The sequence below is a fragment of the Homo sapiens genome, chromosome 19, assembly GCF_000001405.40.
Source record: "Homo sapiens chromosome 19, GRCh38.p14 Primary Assembly".
Classification (NCBI taxonomy): domain Eukaryota; kingdom Metazoa; phylum Chordata; class Mammalia; order Primates; family Hominidae; genus Homo; species Homo sapiens.
This window is the reverse complement of record NC_000019.10, coordinates 37,736,261-37,754,432: the sequence shown is the minus strand read 5'-3', so window position 1 is coordinate 37,754,432 and position 18,172 is coordinate 37,736,261. Positions and strand designations below refer to the sequence as shown.

Here is an 18,172-nt window from a genome sequence, read left to right as displayed (position 1 = left end):
TTCTCCTGCCTCAGCCTCCGTAGTAGCTGGGATTATAGGCACCTGCCACTGCACCCGGCTAATTTTTGTATTTTTAGTAGAGACAGAGTTTTACCATCTTGGCCAGGCTGGTCTTAAATTCCTGACCTCGTGATCCACCCACCTCGGCCTCCCAAAGTGCTGGGATTACAGGCGTGAGCCACCGTGCCCGGCCATTCTTTTCAATTATTTGATATGCTAGCTTTAAATGACAGTCTTTTCCATGGAATATTATACAAATTGACCACACAACATTCATGGATGTTTGTCCCCAAATCAGCATTTTTACATGAATTACTTCTTTAGACATTCTCCCAACTTTTCTAGGAACATGACTTTTATCTTTTACTCCCTTTTATGTATCTGACATTGTAGTCGCTGTATGTTCCCAGTTCTCCATTTCCCGGCTGTTGATAATGACCAAAGAGCCTGCCAAGATGAGATCAGGAGAAATATATTGTGAGAGTTCTTGTATATTTAAACTATTGGCTATTTTTGTAGTTGAAAGATACTTTGGATATCAAATTCTTAATTCATCTTACTTTTCTTGAGAACTTCGTACCTATTGCTCCTTTACTTTCTGAGTTTAAGTAACACTAAGTGTAACTCTAATGCCCACTGGATATTTCCTCCCTTCAAAGTGACTTGATCTTTTTGCCTGGCAACTATAAAAATTTTTTTGTTTTTTGAAGTCATAGAACTCTAATAGTATGTGCTTTAAATGGACCATTCTAGTTAGTTTTCCTTGGTATACATAGTGGCTTTTTAATATATAATTCATGTGCTGATAATGTCCAGAAACTTTTCTGGAGTAATATCTTAAAATGTTAATAATCTCCAGTTCTTTCTGTTTTTATTTTGAATACCATATATTTCCATTTACAAATATACTTCTTCTGCCTGTCTTTTATAGCTACTGTTTTCTCTTTAAAAAAAAATTTACTGTGATAAATAAGATCTAGTATTTGATAGCGCAACAAAGTGACTATAGTCAATAATAATTTAATTGTATATTTTAAAATAACTAAAAGAATATAATTGGATTTTTTGTAGCACAAAGGATAAATACTTGAGGTGATGGATGTTCCATTTACCCTGAAGTGATTATTACACATTGTATGCCTGTATCAAAATATCTCATATACCCCATAAATATATACACCTACATTGTACCCACAAAAATTAAAATAATAATAAAATTTTACTGTGAAATATAACAATTTTGCATGAATAGATGTACACTAATATATAACTAAAATATATACTACAGATGTGTGCCACACCCCCTGCCCCAACCCCGGCTGATTTTTTAAAAATTTTTTTGTAGAGACGGGGTCTTGCTTTTTGGCACAAGCTGATCTTGAACTCCTGGGCTCAAGCAATCCTCCCACCTCAGTGTCCCAAAGTGTTAGGATTACAGACATGAGTTACCACACCCAGCCTGAAATAATGTTAGACAAAAGTTTACAAAAATTATACAGTTCAAATGCCATGGCTCATACTTGTAATCCCAGCATTTTGGAATGCTGAGACAGGAGAATTGCTTGAGCCCAGGGGTTTGAGACCAGCTTGGGCAACATAGTAGGATCCTGTCTCTACAAAAAGTACAAAAATTAGCCAGGCACGGTGGCATGTGCCTGTTGTCCCAGCTGCTCAAGAGGCTGAGATGGGAGGATGGCTTGAGCCCTGAAGGTTGAGGCTGCAGTGAGCCATGATCATGCCACTGTACTCCAGCCTAGGGAACAGAGCAAAATCCTCATCTCTGAAAAAAAGAGAAAAGAAAGCTCATACACATTGCCAGTCATTCCCTATCCTCTCACTCTCAGCCTCTGGCAACCATTAATCTCCTTTGATATCGATAGATTTGCTTATTCTGCATATAAAAAAGGAATCAAGCAACATGTGGCCTTTTGCGAATGACTTTCTTTCACTTAGCATAATGTTTTTGAGTTTCATCCATATAATAGGAGGTATCAATACTCATTCTTTTTTTATGGCTGAATAATATTCTATTCCATCCTATTATTTCTTTTGTTGCTGTGCTTTTGATATTATTGTCTAGGAAACTTTTGTAATCCAAGTTCATGACGATTTACTTCTATGTTATCCTCTAAGTTAGTAGTTTTAGCTCTTACATTTAGGTCTTTGATCCACATTGAGTTAATTTTCATATGTGATACAAAGGGTAGATAGATGCCCAGCTTCATTCTTTTGCATGTGAATATCCAGTTGTGCTAGCACTATTGCTAAAGAGACTCCTTTGAATTTTGTTGGCACCCTTTTTGATAATGAATTAATCATAAATTTGAGATATATGTAAGTGTATGTGTATATATATACACACATAGTCTTTCTGTCTATATACTGTACTATATACTATATACAGTATATATACGGTACTATGTACTATATACAGTATATATACGGTACTATGTACTATATACAGTATATATACGATACTATGTACTATATACAGTATATATACGGTACTATGTACTATATACAGTATATATACGGTACTATGTACTATATACAGTATATATACGGTACTATGTACTATATACAGTATATATACGGTACTATGTACTATATACAGTATATATACGGTACTATGTACTATATACAGTATATATACGGTACTATGTACTATATACAGTATATACGGTACTATGTACTATATACAGTATATATACGGTACTATGTACTATATACAGTATATATACGGTACTATGTACTATATACAGTATATATGCTGTCTATACTGTATATATACACAGTATATATGCTGTCTATACTGTATATATACACAGTATATATGCTGTCTATACTGTATATATACACAGTATATATGCTGTCTATACTGTATATATACACAGTATATATGCTGTCTATACTGTATATATACACAGTATATATGCTGTCTATACTGTATATATACACAGTATATATGCTGTCTATACTGTATATATACACAGTATATATGCTGTCTATACTGTATATATACACAGTATATATGCTGTCTATACTGTATATATACACAGTATATATGCTGTCTATACTGTATATATACACAGTATATATGCTGTCTATACTGTATATATACACAGTATATATGCTGTCTATACTGTATATATACACAGTATATATGCTGTCTATACTGTATATATACACAGTATATATGCTGTCTATACTGTATATATACACAGTATATATGCTGTCTATACTGTATATATACACAGTATATATGCTGTCTATACTGTATATATACACAGTATATATGCTGTCTATACTGTATATATACACAGTATATATGCTGTCTATACTGTATATATACACAGTATATATACCATACTATACTACTATAGACAGTATATATACTGTCTATATACAGTACTATATACTGCTTGATTTACTGTAGCATTATAAAAAGTTTTGAAGTCACAAAGTATGAGTACTGATACTTGAATTCTTGTCTTTCAAGATTGTTTTGGCTATTCTGAGTCTTCTATATTCACATATGAATTTTAGTTCAGCTTGTCATTTTCCACAAGAAAAAGGCAGTTGACTTTTTTTTTTTTTTTTTGAGACTGGGTCTTGCTCTGTCATCTGGGGTTGGAGTACAGTAGTGTGATCTCGGCTCACTGCTGTAATTCTCCTGCCTCAGAGTCCCAAAGTGCTGGGATTACAGGTGTGAGCCTCCGTGTCTGGCTAAGGTATGTTTTTTAACAATTTATATAAATACTCTTTCACATGGAGGAGGTTTGCTTTTTTATACAATTGCTAAAATTTTTCTTAGGAATCATTCTTTCTGCATGTATTAACAAAATTCATACGATTTTTTTCCTCCATTATTCTGTACTATGTTGAATTCTAGTACTTGACTAACCTTGCATGCTGGACTCCAATTTGGTCATCATGTGTTGATATTTTATCTCTTATCAATTATATCTGAACTTTTAATGTTTTCTTTAGGTTTCATGAGTGGGATTGGATTGCAATTTTGTTTTTCATTATCCTTCCTAACGTTGGATGGCTGGGCGCAGTGGCTCATGCCTGTAATCCCAGCACTTTGGGAGGCCTAGGCCGGCAGATCACTTGCGGTCAGGAGTTTGTGACCCAGTCTGGCTAACATGGTGAAACCCTGTCTCTACTAAAAGTAGAAAAATTAGTGAGGCATGGTGGCGCAGGCCTGTAGCCTCAGCTACTCAGGAGATTGAGGCAGGAGAATTGCTTGAACCCAGGAGGCGGAGGTTGTGGTGAGCCGAGATCGTGCCACTGCACCCCAGCCTGGGCAACAAAGGGAGACTCCATCTCAAAAAAAAAAAAAATTAAAAAAAAATAATGTTGGATGTGTTTCATTAGCTTCATACATGTGTTGAGGGAATGTACCCTTTTACCCCCTCTTAGAATGTCTGAAGAAACACTCCAGAAAAAAAAATCTGAAACTTCAGTTTCCATTGTGCTTTTTAAAAACTTATGCAAATTACATAATGCTTATAGAATTGTCCAAGTTTTCTGTGTGTTGATTTTGCAGTGGCTACTTTTTAGAGTTTTATGCATTTCAAGCAAGTTAGTAACATGTTTTTATCCTAATGCCATCTTACTGTGTTTGTGCAGTGTGGAGAGCTATAGCTGAGGTACCTGGTAGCACTCCTAGGTTGGATATTGTAGCATTTACTTTTTTCTTCATCAGTGTTGAGAGAATTGCATCAGTAACATTAGTTTGAAATAAAATATCTGCCGTTTTGGCTCTTCTGTGGTATTTGTGAACTCCATTTTTTAAAATTACTGGACTTTTATATCTTATTTTTGTTTATTTGTTGCATTTTCCAGCTTCTTGTGATGAATATATAGGTCACCAATTTTCAAGTTTTCTCCTTTTCTCATATGTATTTACATCTGCTTTATAAATTGTTTTTTCTTCTTTCATGCTATCAAATATAAATGGATATAAACCTACTATTATTTGGTTAAAAATAATTTTATATGGGAATTTAGGTAATATCTCCTTAAATTCTGGGTTGCTGTTTCCTTTCCCCAGCTTTTTATTTTAAAAATCATCAAGCCAAGGGAGAATATTTTAAAAATATATATTTGTGTATATATGTATGTGTGTGTATGTGTATAATGTATAATATATAATATATATACAGTTAATTACCTTTCACATAGATTCATCTTTGGTTATTAACATTTTGCCTTACTTTTTCTCTGTATATATGCACCTTTCTTCTTGGCTCACTTGATGGTAAGTAGCAGTTGTCATTAAATTTCACCTCTTAACTATGTACATCTCCTAAGAATAAAGACATTCTCCTTCAAAGTCACAATATTATTATAATAGTAATGTAGTCTTATCTACTATAGAGTCTATACTTACATTTGTTATGCTGTTTCTAAAAATGTCATTTATAAAATGTTTCCAGGATCCATTGTGTATTCATACATTGCATTTAGGTCTTAGGCTTTTTTTTTTTTTTTTTTTTTTGAGACCAAGTCTTGCTCTGTCGCCCAGGCTGGAATGCAGTGGTGCTATCTCGGCTCACTGCAACCTCTGCCTCCTGGGTTCAAGCGATTCTCCTGCCTCAGCCTCCGAGTTAGCTGGGACTACAGGCGCCCGCCACCACGCCTGGCTAATTTTTGTGTTTTTAGTAGAGATGGGGTTTCACCATATTGGCCAGGCTGGTCTCGAATTCCTGAACTTGTGATCCGCCTGCCTTGGCCTCCCAAAGTGCTGGGGTTAAGGCATGAGCCACCATGCCCAGCCAGGTCTTAGGCTTTTTATCTTGGTGTTACCTTACTACATTTTCCCCTTTGGGTTTGGCTTTTTTGAAGTGTCTACTCCAGTTTTCTTGTGGAATGTCAGATTTATAGGTTTGATGGTTTCCCCTCATGATTAGAGTAAGATTAAACATTTTTTGCCAAGAATATTGCAGAAGTAGTGCGTAATGATCGTTTTTGTTTGTTTTCTTTTCTCCACCAACCAAACAAAGACCACTGGTAATTAACTTTTTTTAAAATAACTTTTTAACTTTAGAATAATTTTAGATTTACAAAATTTACAGATTTACAAAGATAATACAGAGATTTCCTGTATACATCTCTCCCACTTTCCACCATTGTTAACATCTTACATAAAGTATGTTTGTCAAAACTAGGAAACTGACATGAGACTCTCCATTGGGATTTCACCAGTTTTTCCATATAGCTCATATTTCTGTTCCAAGATGCATCCAGTTAGGGGTACCACATTGTATACATTTGTCTTATCTTCCAGTCTCTTCTGTTCTGTGACAGTTTTTTCTGCTTTTCTTTGTTTTTCATGACTTTGACTGTCTTGACAGACCATGCCAGTAGTGTTCTCCCAATCCAAGTCTGTTGTTTTTTTGTAATTAGGCTGGAAGTAGTAGTTTTTAGAAAGACTGTAACAGCCGGGCGCGGTGGCTCATGCCTGTAATCCCAGCACTTTGGGAGGCCGAGGCAGGTGGATCACGAGGTCAGGAGATCGAGACCATCCTGGATAACACGGTGAAACCCCGTCTCTACTAAAAATACAAAAAAATAGCCGGGCATGGTGTCAGGCGCCTGTAGTCCCAGCTACTTGGAGGCTGAGGCAGGAGAATGGCGTGAATCTGGGAGGCAGAGTTTGCAGTGAGCCGACCAGCTTGGGCCACAGAGTGAGACTCCATCTCAAAAAAAAAAAGAAAGACTGTAAGAGAGGTGAAGTATGCTTTTCATCACATTACATCAGGGGTACATGACATCACTGGTGATATTAACCTTTATCATTTGGCTAAAGTAGTGTCTGCCAGGTTTCTTCACTCCAAATGTACTATTTTTTCCTTTTCCATTCTCTACTCTTTAGAAACAACTTGTTAAGTCTAGCCCACCCTGGGAGCAGGTACATAGAAGTGGAAATTAAGCTTTACATTCCATAGAGTTTAATATCTAGAATTCTTCTATAAGACATATTTGTTTCTTCTCATATCAGTGTAGACTCATTTATATTTGTTTTATACTTCAAGGTAGAATCAAATATTACATTACTTCTTTTGCCACCCATACCGTTTCAACTTCAGATAGAATTCTTCTATAAGACATATTTGTTTCTTCTCATATCAGTGTAGACTCATTTATATTTGTTTTATACTTCAAGGTAGAATCAAATATTACATTACTTCTTTTGCCACCCATACCGTTTCAACTTCAGACAGAATTCTTCTATAAGACATATTTGTTTCTTCTCATATCAGTGTAGACTCATTTATATTTGTTTTATACTTCAAGGTAGAATCAAATATTACATTACTTCTTTTGCCACCCATACCGTTTCAACTTCAGACATTGATAGCTCTTTTAGCTTGGTTCCTATGTTCATTTAATACCCTGATCCTTCTGTTTTTTGAGGACTTCTTTCCTGGTACTACCTTCAGGTTCATTTTGTTTTCTCCCTCCCGTGGTCCTGGAATCAGCTGTTTCTCCCAGGAGTGTGATTCCTTTTAGTGGAGAATGGGATTTAAAAACCAAGGTCAGCTGGGCACGGTGGCTCACGCCTGTAATCCCAGCACTTTGGGAGGCCAAGGCGGGCAGATCACGAGGTCAGGAGTTTTTAAGACCAGCCTGGCCAACATGGTGAAACCCCGTCTCTACTAAAAATACAAAAATTAGCTGGGCGTGGAGGCGCGGGTCTGTACATAATGCCAGTTACTTGGGAGGCTGAGGCAGGATAATCGCTTGAACTCGGGAGGCAGAGGTTGCAGTGAGCCAAGATCGCACCACTGCACTCCAGCCTGGGCGACAGAGCAAGACTCCGTCCCAAAAAAAAAACAAGGTCTGGGTAATGGATATATGCACATTCGCCGATGTATGCTTACATATATTAATAATTGTCTTTTTGTCTATCCATTTGTATGCATCTGAAGCTAAACATGAGTTCATACTAATGTCTCTGACTCTCATCTACTACTACAAAATGTATTCTAATCTTCCTGTCTTGTTTATATGTAACTTTTTACCCTGACAGCAGGAAAACTGGCTCTCCCCGTCCACCATTTATTTCTGTATCTATTCAACTCCAGTGTATGTGTAACACATTTCTGAGTTGTTAACCTGTACCCCCATGAGCATCAAGTTTACTCACTTGAGTAGTGTTTGTATATACTTCCTTTAGTGTATGGCCTTATAATTTTCAGTCAAAACATCATTTTCCAAAGTTTGTTATTTTATCATATCACAGTGCACTGTTTGTTCAGTATATTGATTACCTACAAGCAGTATATAATTACCAAATATATGTTGTCTAGTTATCTTTGCAGTATTGATTTCTAGCATAAAATTTTTCTTGTGGTCAGACTACATACTCTATACAATCTTGATCCTTTGAAATACATGAAACTTGCTTTATAGCCCAGTATATGGTCAGTTTTTAGGAACAATCTGTGTGTGACTGGAAGGTAACTGAGCTCTGCAGTATTTGAATTGTATCTATGAAGTTCTGGATCTTTATTGATTAAATGTTCCACTCAGACTTTGGATTGTCTTTGGTTAATCAGACTTTGGATAATTTGCTTTCTTTATTTCATACCATGTTAATAGAGAAATACAGAATTATTTATAACCCTTATAAAGAAATATTTATAACATTAAGAAATCCTCTATGTACATTATAGTTCATTAGAAAATAGAGATGGTTAAAACTGCTTTCAAAACATTACAATCTTGCCAAGTGTGGTGGCTCACGCCTGTAATCCCAGCACTTTGGGAGGCTGAAGCGGGCAGATCATTTGAGTTCAGGAGTTTCAGATAAGCCTGTCCAACATGGTGAAACCCTGTCTCTACTAAAAATACAAAAATTAGCTGGGCGTAGTGGCAAGCACCTATAATCCCAGCTACTCCAGAGGCTGAGGCAGTAGAATCCGTTGAACCCGGGAGGCAGAGGTTGCAGAGCTGAGATCGTGTCACTGCACTCCAGCCTGGGCAACAGAGCCAGACTCCATCCTACCACCCCCACCCCCCAAAAAAATTAAAGTCTTGGCTGAATGCAGTGGCTCACGTCTGTAATCCTAACACTTTGGGAGGCTGAGGCAGACAGAAGCAAATCACTTGGCGCCAGGAGTTCGAGACCAGCCTGGCCAACATGGCGAAACCTCATCTCTACCAAAAATACAAAAAAATTAGCCAAGCATAGTGGTGGGTGCCTGTGGCCCCAGCTACTCGGGAAGCTGAGGCACAAGAATTGCTTGAACCTGAGAGGCAAAGGTTGCAGTGAGCCAGTATCACACCACTGCACTCCAGCCTGAGTGACAGAGCATTTTTTTTCTTTAAGTATTTCCTGGCCGGGCACGGTGGCTCACGCCTGTAATCCCAGCACTTTGGGAGGCCAAAGTGGGCACATCACGAGGTCAGGAGATCAAGACCATCCTGGCTAACATGGTGAAACCCTGTCTCTACTAAAAATACAAAAAATTTAGCGGGGCGTGGTGGCGGGTGCCTGTAGTCCCAGCTACTCGGGAGGCTGAGGCAGGAGAATGGCATGAACCTGGGAGGCAGAGCTTGGAGTGAGCCGAGATCGCACCACTGCACTCCAACCTAGGAGACAGAGCGAGATGCCATCTCAAAAAAAAAAGTGTTTTCTTTTTCTTTTTTCTTTTTTTTTTTCTTTTTTTTTTTTTTTTGAGATAGGGTCTTGCTCTGTTGCCTGGGCTGGAGTGCAGTGGCGTGAACACAGCTCACTGCAGCTTTGGCCGCCTAGGCTCTAGAAATTCTCCCACCTTGCCCTCCCGAATATCTGGGACCACAAGTGCATGCCACCATGCCCAGCCAAGTTTTTAATTTTTTTTTGTAAAGAAGAGGTCTTATTGTGTTGCCCAGGCTGGTCTTGAACTCCTGGGCTTGAGTGATCCTCCTGCTTCGGCTTCCCAAAGTGCTGGGATTATAGGCGTGAGCCACCACTCCAGTCCCTGACTCTGTTTTTGATGTTTAACTGCTGATGACTCCTCTTTTTTTTTCCCCTTCTGTCTACTTCTGGGCCAGCTGGTAAAAAACCTAGGTGCTCCCTCCTTCTCATTCAAACCATGTGAACCCCATGCCATGAGCAGGAACACTCAGCCCAGCACCACACCCTAACCACCATGCAAACTCCAAGCCAGCCTCCTTTTCCTAATCTCTCAAGTTGTTTTATGACCTGCTTGGGAGCTGCTCTGCTCTCTAGAAAGCCTCATGATGAGAGTTATAAACCCTTTCATACCTTTTTGGTGTATCTGTGTGACATCAGTAGTCTTTTTTTTTTCCTTTCTTCTAAAAAAAAAACAGGATACATGGATACATGTGCAGAACATGCAGGTTTGTTACATAGGTATACGTGTGCCGTGGTGGTTTGCTGCATCTTTTGACCTGTCCTCTAAGTTCCCTCCCCTCACCTCCCAGCCCCCAACAGGCCCTGGTGTGTTATTCCCTTCTCTGTGTCCATGAGTTCTCATTGTTCAACTCCCACTTATGAGTGAGAACATGTGGTATTTGGTTTTCTGTTCCTGTGTTAGTTTGCTGAGAATGATGGCCTCCAGCTTCATGCATGTCCCTGCAAAGGACAAGATCTCATTTCTTTTTATGGCTGCATAGTATTCCATGGTGTATATGTACCACATTTTCTTTATCCAGTCTATCATTGATGGGCATTTGGGTTGGCTCCAAGTCTTTGCTATTGTAAATAGTGCTGCAGTAAACGTACATGCACATGTGTCTTTCTAGTAGAATGATTTATATTTCTTTGGGTATATACCCAGTAGTGGGATTGCTGGGTCAAATGTATTTCTGGTTCTAGATCCTTGAGGAATTGCCATACTGTCTTCCACAGTGGTTGAACTAATTTACATTCCCACCAACAGTATAAAAGTATTCCTATTTCTCCACAGCCTCACCAGCATCTATTGTTTCCTGACTTTTTAATAATCGCCATTCTAACTGGTGTGAGATGGTATCTCATTGTGGTTTTGATTTGCATTTCTCTGATGATCTCTGATGATGATGTTGAGCTTTTCTTCATATGTTTGTTGGCCTCATAAATGTCTTCTTCTTCTTCTTTTTTTTTTTTTTTTTTGAGATGGATTCTCACTCTGTCACCCAGGCTGGAGTGCAGTGGCTTGATCTCGGCTCACTGCAACCTCTACCTCCCGCGTTCAAGTGATTCTCCTGCCTCAGCCTCCCGAGTAGCTGGGATTACAGGCACCTGCCACCATGCCTGGCTAATTTTTTTTGTGCTTTTAGTAGAGATGGGGTTTCACCATGTTGGCCAGGCTGGTCTTGAATTCCTGACCTCGTGATCCACCCGCCTTGGCCTCCCAAAGTGCTGGGATTACAGGCATGAGCCACCGCAGCCAAATGTCTTCTTTTGAGAAGTGTCTGTTCATATCCCTTGCCCACTTTTTGATGTGTTGTTTGGTTTTTACTTGTAAATTTGTTTAAGTTCCTTGTAAATTCTGGATGTTAGACCTTTGTCAGATGGGTAGGTTTCTCCCATTCTGTAGGTTGCCTGTTCACTCTGATGATAGTTTCTTTTCCTGTGCAGAAGGTCTTTGGTTTAATTAGATCCCATTTGTCAATTTTGGCTTTTGCTGCAATGGTTTTTGTCATTTTTGTCATGAAATCTTTGCCCATGCCTATGTCCTGAATGGCATTGCCTAGGTTTTCTTCTAGGGTTTTTATGGTTTTGGGTTTTACAGTTAAGTCTTTAATCCATCTTGAGTTGATTGTTACATAAGGTGTAAGGAAGGGGTCTAGTTTTAGTTTTCTGCATATGGCTACCCAGTTTTCCCAGCACCATTTACTGAGTAGGAGATCCTTTCCCCATTGCTTGTTTGTGGCAGGTTTGTTGAAGATCAGATGGTTGTAGATGTGTGGTGTTATTTCTGAGGTCTCTTTTCTGCTCCATTGGTTTATATGTCTGTTTTGGTACCAGTACCATGCTGTTTTGGTTACTGTAGCCTTGTAGTATAGTTTGAAGTCAGGTAGCATGATGCCTCCAGCTTTGTTCTTTTTGCTTAGGATTGTCTTGGCTGTACGGGGTCTTCTTTGATTCCATATAAAATTTAAAACAGTTTTTTTCTAATTCTGTGAAGAATGTCAATGGTAATTTGATGGGAATAGCATTGAATCTATAATTTACTTTGGGTAGTATGGCCATTTTCATGATATTGATTCTTCCTATCCATTAGGATGGAATCTTTTTCCATTTATTTGTGTCCTCTCTTATTTCCTTGAGCAGTGGTTTATAGTTCTCCTTGAAGAGGTCCTTCACATCCCTTGTTAGCTGTATTCCTACGTATTTCATTCTCTTTGTAGCGATTATGAATGGGAGTTCATTCATGATTTGGCTCTCTGCTTGTCTATTGTTGGTGTAAAGGAATGCTTGTGATTTTTTCACATTGATTTTGTACCCTGAGACTTGGCTGAAGTTGCTTATCAGTTTAAGGAGTTTTTGGCCTGAGATGATGGGGTTTTCTAAATATAAAATCATGTCATCTGCAAACAGAGACAACTTGACTTCCTCTCTTCCTGTTTGAATACTTTTATTTCTTTCTCTTGCCTGATTGCCCTGGCCAGAACTTCCAGTACTGTGTTGAATAAGAGTGGTGAGAGAGGGCATCCTTGTCTTGTACTGGTTTTCAAAGGGAATGCTTCCAGCTTTTGCCCATTCAATATGATATCAGCTGTGGGTTTGTCATAAATAGCTATTATTGAGATATGTTCCATCAATACCTAGTTTATTGAGAGTTTTTGACATGAAGGGATGTTGAATTTTATCAAAGGCCTTTTCTGTATCTATTGAGATAATCATGTGGTTTTTGTCTTTGGTCCGGTTTATGTGATAGATTATGTTTATCGATTTGCGTATGTTGAACCAGCCTTGCATCCCAGGGATGAAGCCAACTTGATCACGGTGGATAAGCAACACAGTGAGACCCTGTCTCTACACATAATTTTAAAATTAGCCAGGTGTGGTGTTGTGCATCTGTAGTCCCAGTTACTTGAGAGGCTGAGGTGGGAAAATCGCTTGAGCTGGAAGAGTACAAGGCTGCAGTGAACTATGATTGGGCTATTGTACTTCAGCCTGAGTGACAGAGCAAGACTCTGTCTTGATGATTGATTGATAGCTAGATGGATGGATAGATAGATAAACAGACAGATAAAGATAGAGAGACAGACAGAGTTAGCAGGTACTGCCTTTCTAAAGAAAGAACATTTACTCTGAAACATAAAGGATGAGAAGGATTCAGCCTACAAAATGTCTAAGTCCAAGGACTCTTGAGCAGTTAAACGGTCTGTGGAAAGCATTAAGTGTTGGGGGAAGTTGTACAGTTGGCCCTTTGTATCTATGGGTTCTGCACTCATGGATTCAACCATCTTCAGATCAAACATATATTTTTAAATTGTGAGGGTACTGACCACATACAGGCTTTTTTCTTGCCATTATTTTCGAAGCAACAGTAGAACAGCTATTCACATAGCATTTACATTGTATTGGGTATTGTAAGTAATCCAGAGATGATTTAAAGTATACAGGAAGATGTTTATAGGTTATGTGCAAATACTATGCCATTTTATATCAGGGACTTAAGGCGTCGGTATCTGGGTTGGGTTTTGGTATCTGCAGGAGGTCCTGGAACTGATCCTCCACAGATACCAAGGGGCAATTGTACTATATTCCAGGTGTTGAAAAGAGGGACTATGATAGAGAATAGGAAGCAAAGAGCTGATGTTTTGACATGAGACCTCCTAGGTAAGCAGCAGTCCTTGGAAAGGGATTTGTATTTTATTTTAAGAACAGTGAAAAATCACTCGAGAAACTTAAAGGATGTATTCTTAAACACTGACCTGCATCTAAATCAGTGATAGGTTCAAAATAAAGATGTCAAGGTTTCTCTCCTCTCAGTTTTAATTCACTTGGTCTTTGACGGTGCCAATATAGCAGATTTGGAACAAGCTTGTCAAAGATTCTGGCCCCACCTAAATGTTACCTATGTCCTCAATCAGTAATTTCACTATCTTACGTAAACTCTCATACGTCTCTGAACTCTTTTTGGCCTTTTTCAAATTTCGTAACCATATTTTTGAATTCTATATGCCATTCACTTATTATGAATGTTGGTTTTTCTTTGTTGCATAAAGTTTCTTGTTCTCTGGTATAGAAATACAAATTTTTTTTGTTGTCCTCTTTTGTTTCAGATTTGGATTTACAGTGTGAGATAATCAGCTACATAGAAGTACCCACTTATGAAACAGATATATCCTCTACACAACTTCAGAGCATATATAAGAGAGAGAAACTCTATGAATGTAAGAAATGTCAGAAGAAATTTAGTAGTGGTTATCAACTTATTCTACATCACAGGTTTCATGTCATTGAGAGACCCTATGAATGCAAAGAGTGTGGGAAGAACTTTCGTAGTGGCTATCAACTTACTCTACATCAAAGATTTCATACTGGTGAGAAACCCTATGAATGTACAGAATGTGGGAAGAACTTTAGAAGTGGTTATCAGCTGACTGTGCATCAGAGATTTCATACTGGTGAGAAAACCTATGAATGTAGGCAGTGTGGGAAGGCCTTTATATATGCCTCACACATTGTTCAACATGAGAGAATTCACACTGGTGGGAAGCCGTATGAATGTCAGGAGTGTGGGAGGGCCTTTAGTCAAGGTGGACATCTTAGAATTCATCAGAGAGTTCATACTGGCGAAAAACCATATAAATGTAAGGAATGTGGGAAGACTTTTAGTAGGCGCTCAAATCTTGTTGAACATGGGCAGTTTCATACTGATGAGAAGCCATACATATGTGAGAAATGTGGAAAGGCCTTTAGAAGAGGTCACCAGCTTACTGTACATCAGAGAGTTCACACTGGTAAAAAGCCATATGAGTGTAAAGAATGTGGGAAGGGCTATACCACTGCCTCATACTTTCTTCTACATCAGAGAATTCATAAAGGTGGAAAACCCTATGAATGTAAGGAGTGTAAGAAAACCTTTACTTTGTATAGAAATCTTACTCGGCATCAGAATATTCATACTGGTGAGAAACTTTTTGAATGCAAGCAATGTGGGAAGACCTATACTACTGGTTCAAAACTCTTTCAACATCAGAAAACTCATACTGGCGAGAAACCCTATGAATGCAAGGAATGCGGAAAGGCCTTTAGCTTGTATGGCTACCTTAAACAACATCAGAAAATTCATACTGGCATGAAACACTTTGAATGTAAGGAGTGTAAAAAAACCTTTACTTTGTATAGAAATCTTACTCGACATCAGAATATTCACACTGGTAAGAAACTTTTTGAATGTCAGGAATGTGGGAAGGCCTATAGTACTGGCTCAAACCTTATTCAACATCGGAAAACTCATACTGGTGAGAAACCCTATAAATGTAAGGAATGTGGCAAGACCTTTAGCTTGCATGGATATCTTAATCAACATCAGAAAATTCATACTGGTATGAAACCCTATGAATGTAAGGTATGTAGAAAAACCTTTACTTTCTATAGAAATCTTACTCTACATCAAAGTATTCATACTGATGAGAAACCTTTTGAATGTAAGGAATGTGGGAAGACCTTTAGACGTAGTTCACACCTTACTGCACATCAGAGCATTCATGCTGATAAAAAACCCTATGAATGTAAAGAATGTGGAAAGGCCTTTAAAATGTATGGCTACCTTACCCAACATCAGAAAATTCATACTGGTGGAAAACCTTATGAATGTAAAGAATGTGGGAAGGCCTTCAGTCGTGCTTCAAACCTTGTTCAACATGAGAGAATTCATACTGGTGAGAAACCCTATGTGTGTAAGCAGTGTGGGAAAACCTTCAGATATGGTTCAGCCCTTAAAGCCCATCAGAGAATTCATAGGAGCATAAAAGTGTAAGACCGTAAAGAGTACGAGCGCGCCATTCATCATCAGACAGCCCACACTGGTGAGAAATGATGGAATGTTAGTCTTATAGGTATGGCTTTAGCAATTGAGAGAGTTCAAAATGCAGATCTTGCCACATTAGAAAGCATTCAATGTCAGTCCTGTTTTAATGGAATATCTGACTATTCAATGGTAAATTAAGAAAAAAAAAAAAAAAAACAGGAATCCCAGTTTCTTCATGCCTACAACATCCATGGCATGGATTTTTTTTTAAAAAAACTTAATAATTAAGGCTGGGCGCGGTGGTTTGCCTGTAATCCCAGCACTTTGAGAGGCCAAGGTGGGCGGATCACGAGGTCAGGAGATAGAGACCATCCTGGCTAACACGATGAAACCCCGTCTCTACTAAAAATACAAAAAATTAGCTGGGCGTGGTGGCAGGCGCCTGCAATCCCAGCTACTCGGGAGGCTGAGGCAGGAGAATAGCGTGAACCCGGGAGGCAGAGCTTGCAGTGAGCAGAGATCGCGCCACTGCACTCCAGCCTGGGCAACAGAGTGAGACTCCGTCTCAAAAGAAAAAAAAAAAAAACTTATTAATTAAAAGGATGACCAAAAGCCTTTCATACTAGATTTCAATGGCTGTATTACAAATTACCCCAAGCCTTAATGTCTTACCACAACAATAAACATCACTCATAGGTTCTGAGGGTCAGAAATTCGGAAGAGGCTTAACTGAGTGCTTTTGAATTGGTCTTTCCATGAGCTTGCAGTCTTCTGAAGGCTCCTTGGGGCGGAAGGATCTGTTTTCCAGGTGGCTTGCTCACACTGGCAGGCTGGCTTAGACAGTGAGAGTGCCAGGAGAAAGCTGTGACTTTGGAGCCGTTTTTTGTTTGTTTGTTTGTCTGTTTTTGTTTTTGTCTTTGTTTTTTGAGACAGGGTCTTGCTCTATCACCCAGGCTGGAGTGCAGAGGCATGCTCATAGCTCACTGCAGCTTTCAACTTCTGGGCTCAAGCAATTTGGGTGGCTTCTTGAGCATATTTTGCATGACGTAGAAATATAAGCAATTTGTACTCAGAATGCCAGTCGTGGTGTTTTAAAAATATGTCCTCAAATTCTTGAAACTCTACCCTTCAAACTTGAAGTCTGGCCAGGCACGGTGACTCACGCCTGTAATCCCAGCACTTTGGGAGACCGAGGCCTAGCCAGGCGTGATGGCACACGCCTGTAGTCCCAGCTACTAGGGAGGCTGAGGCAGGAGAATCGCTTGAACTTGGGAGGCGGAGGCTGCAGTGAGCTGAGATCGTGCCTCTGCACTCCAGCCTGGGCAACAGCATGAGACTCCGTCTCAAAAACACAAACAGCAAATAAAAAAACCTGAAGTCCAATTCCCTTCCCTTTGCATGTGAGCTGAACCTAGATGAACAGAATCTTCAGGATCACCTTTCCCTGGTGCTCATGCTCACTTGTTCATTCACTCTCGTGCAAATCCGGCCTCCTCTACCTAGGGCTTCTGCAGAGGCTGCTGACAGAGCCATTTATAGAAGTTTCATTGAATGGTGATTCTCATAATTGTCACATTAGATATTGCTGGAGTCTTAACCAAGGGTTTTTAACAGTCATACTCTATCTGTTCTTTGGAGAACAGATAACCTGCCTGTGAAGTGCCCACTCTGCTCCCTCTCTGAAATAATCATTGTGTTAATGTTGAGGCCATGCTTCCTATGGGCTGCCCCCAGCTCCTTTTCTGAGCATAACATAAGTATTCATGCTAGTCAATTCTTACGAAACCCAGACCCTTCAGCTGGGGAACTGTGAATCAGCCAGGCTGAAACTGTTTTCATACTGCCCCGCGTTTTCATAGTTTTTCTACCAATCTTGCTTCATCCCTCTCCTTCAGAGTCATCCATCTTGTACCATGGCCTGAAGGCTTTCACTGCCTTTCCTGGACCTCTTTTTCATTCATAGCCCCCTCCTTCCTTCTGATCTGATCTTGCTTTTTGCTTTTCAGAGGATCAAAATGAACACATACCCTAAGGTTACCTACATACTATGTTTCCCTAACAGCACTCTGGATTTTATCTTTGTCCAGAGACTATTTCTGAAGTTTAGCATCATTTGCTTTCTGGAGAGGCTGGGAGTTTCCAAAAGCAAGTCCTGGTTCACTTCTGTTTAACAGTCTTTTTCTAGCTTATCTCACTTCTAGCACTTAAGCAACAAGAAGCAAGACACCTTCAACATTCTG

General features: G+C 39.1%; 1 protein-coding gene across 5 annotated transcripts in view; it reads left to right on the top strand.

Moving 5' to 3' along the window:
- Nucleotides 1-16,131, top strand: part of ZNF573 (zinc finger protein 573) — a 41,285-nt gene extending 25,154 nt beyond the window's left edge. For all 5 annotated transcript variants that reach the window (NM_001172692.2, NM_001172691.2, NM_001172690.2 and 2 more), the window contains one exon: nt 14,239-16,131. In NM_001172692.2, coding sequence (NP_001166163.1) covers nt 14,239-15,941 — 1,703 coding nt within the window. In that variant the 3' untranslated portion in view covers nt 15,942-16,131. The remainder of the gene's footprint in view (nt 1-14,238) is intronic.
- Nucleotides 16,132-18,172: the final 2,041 nt, after the last annotated feature.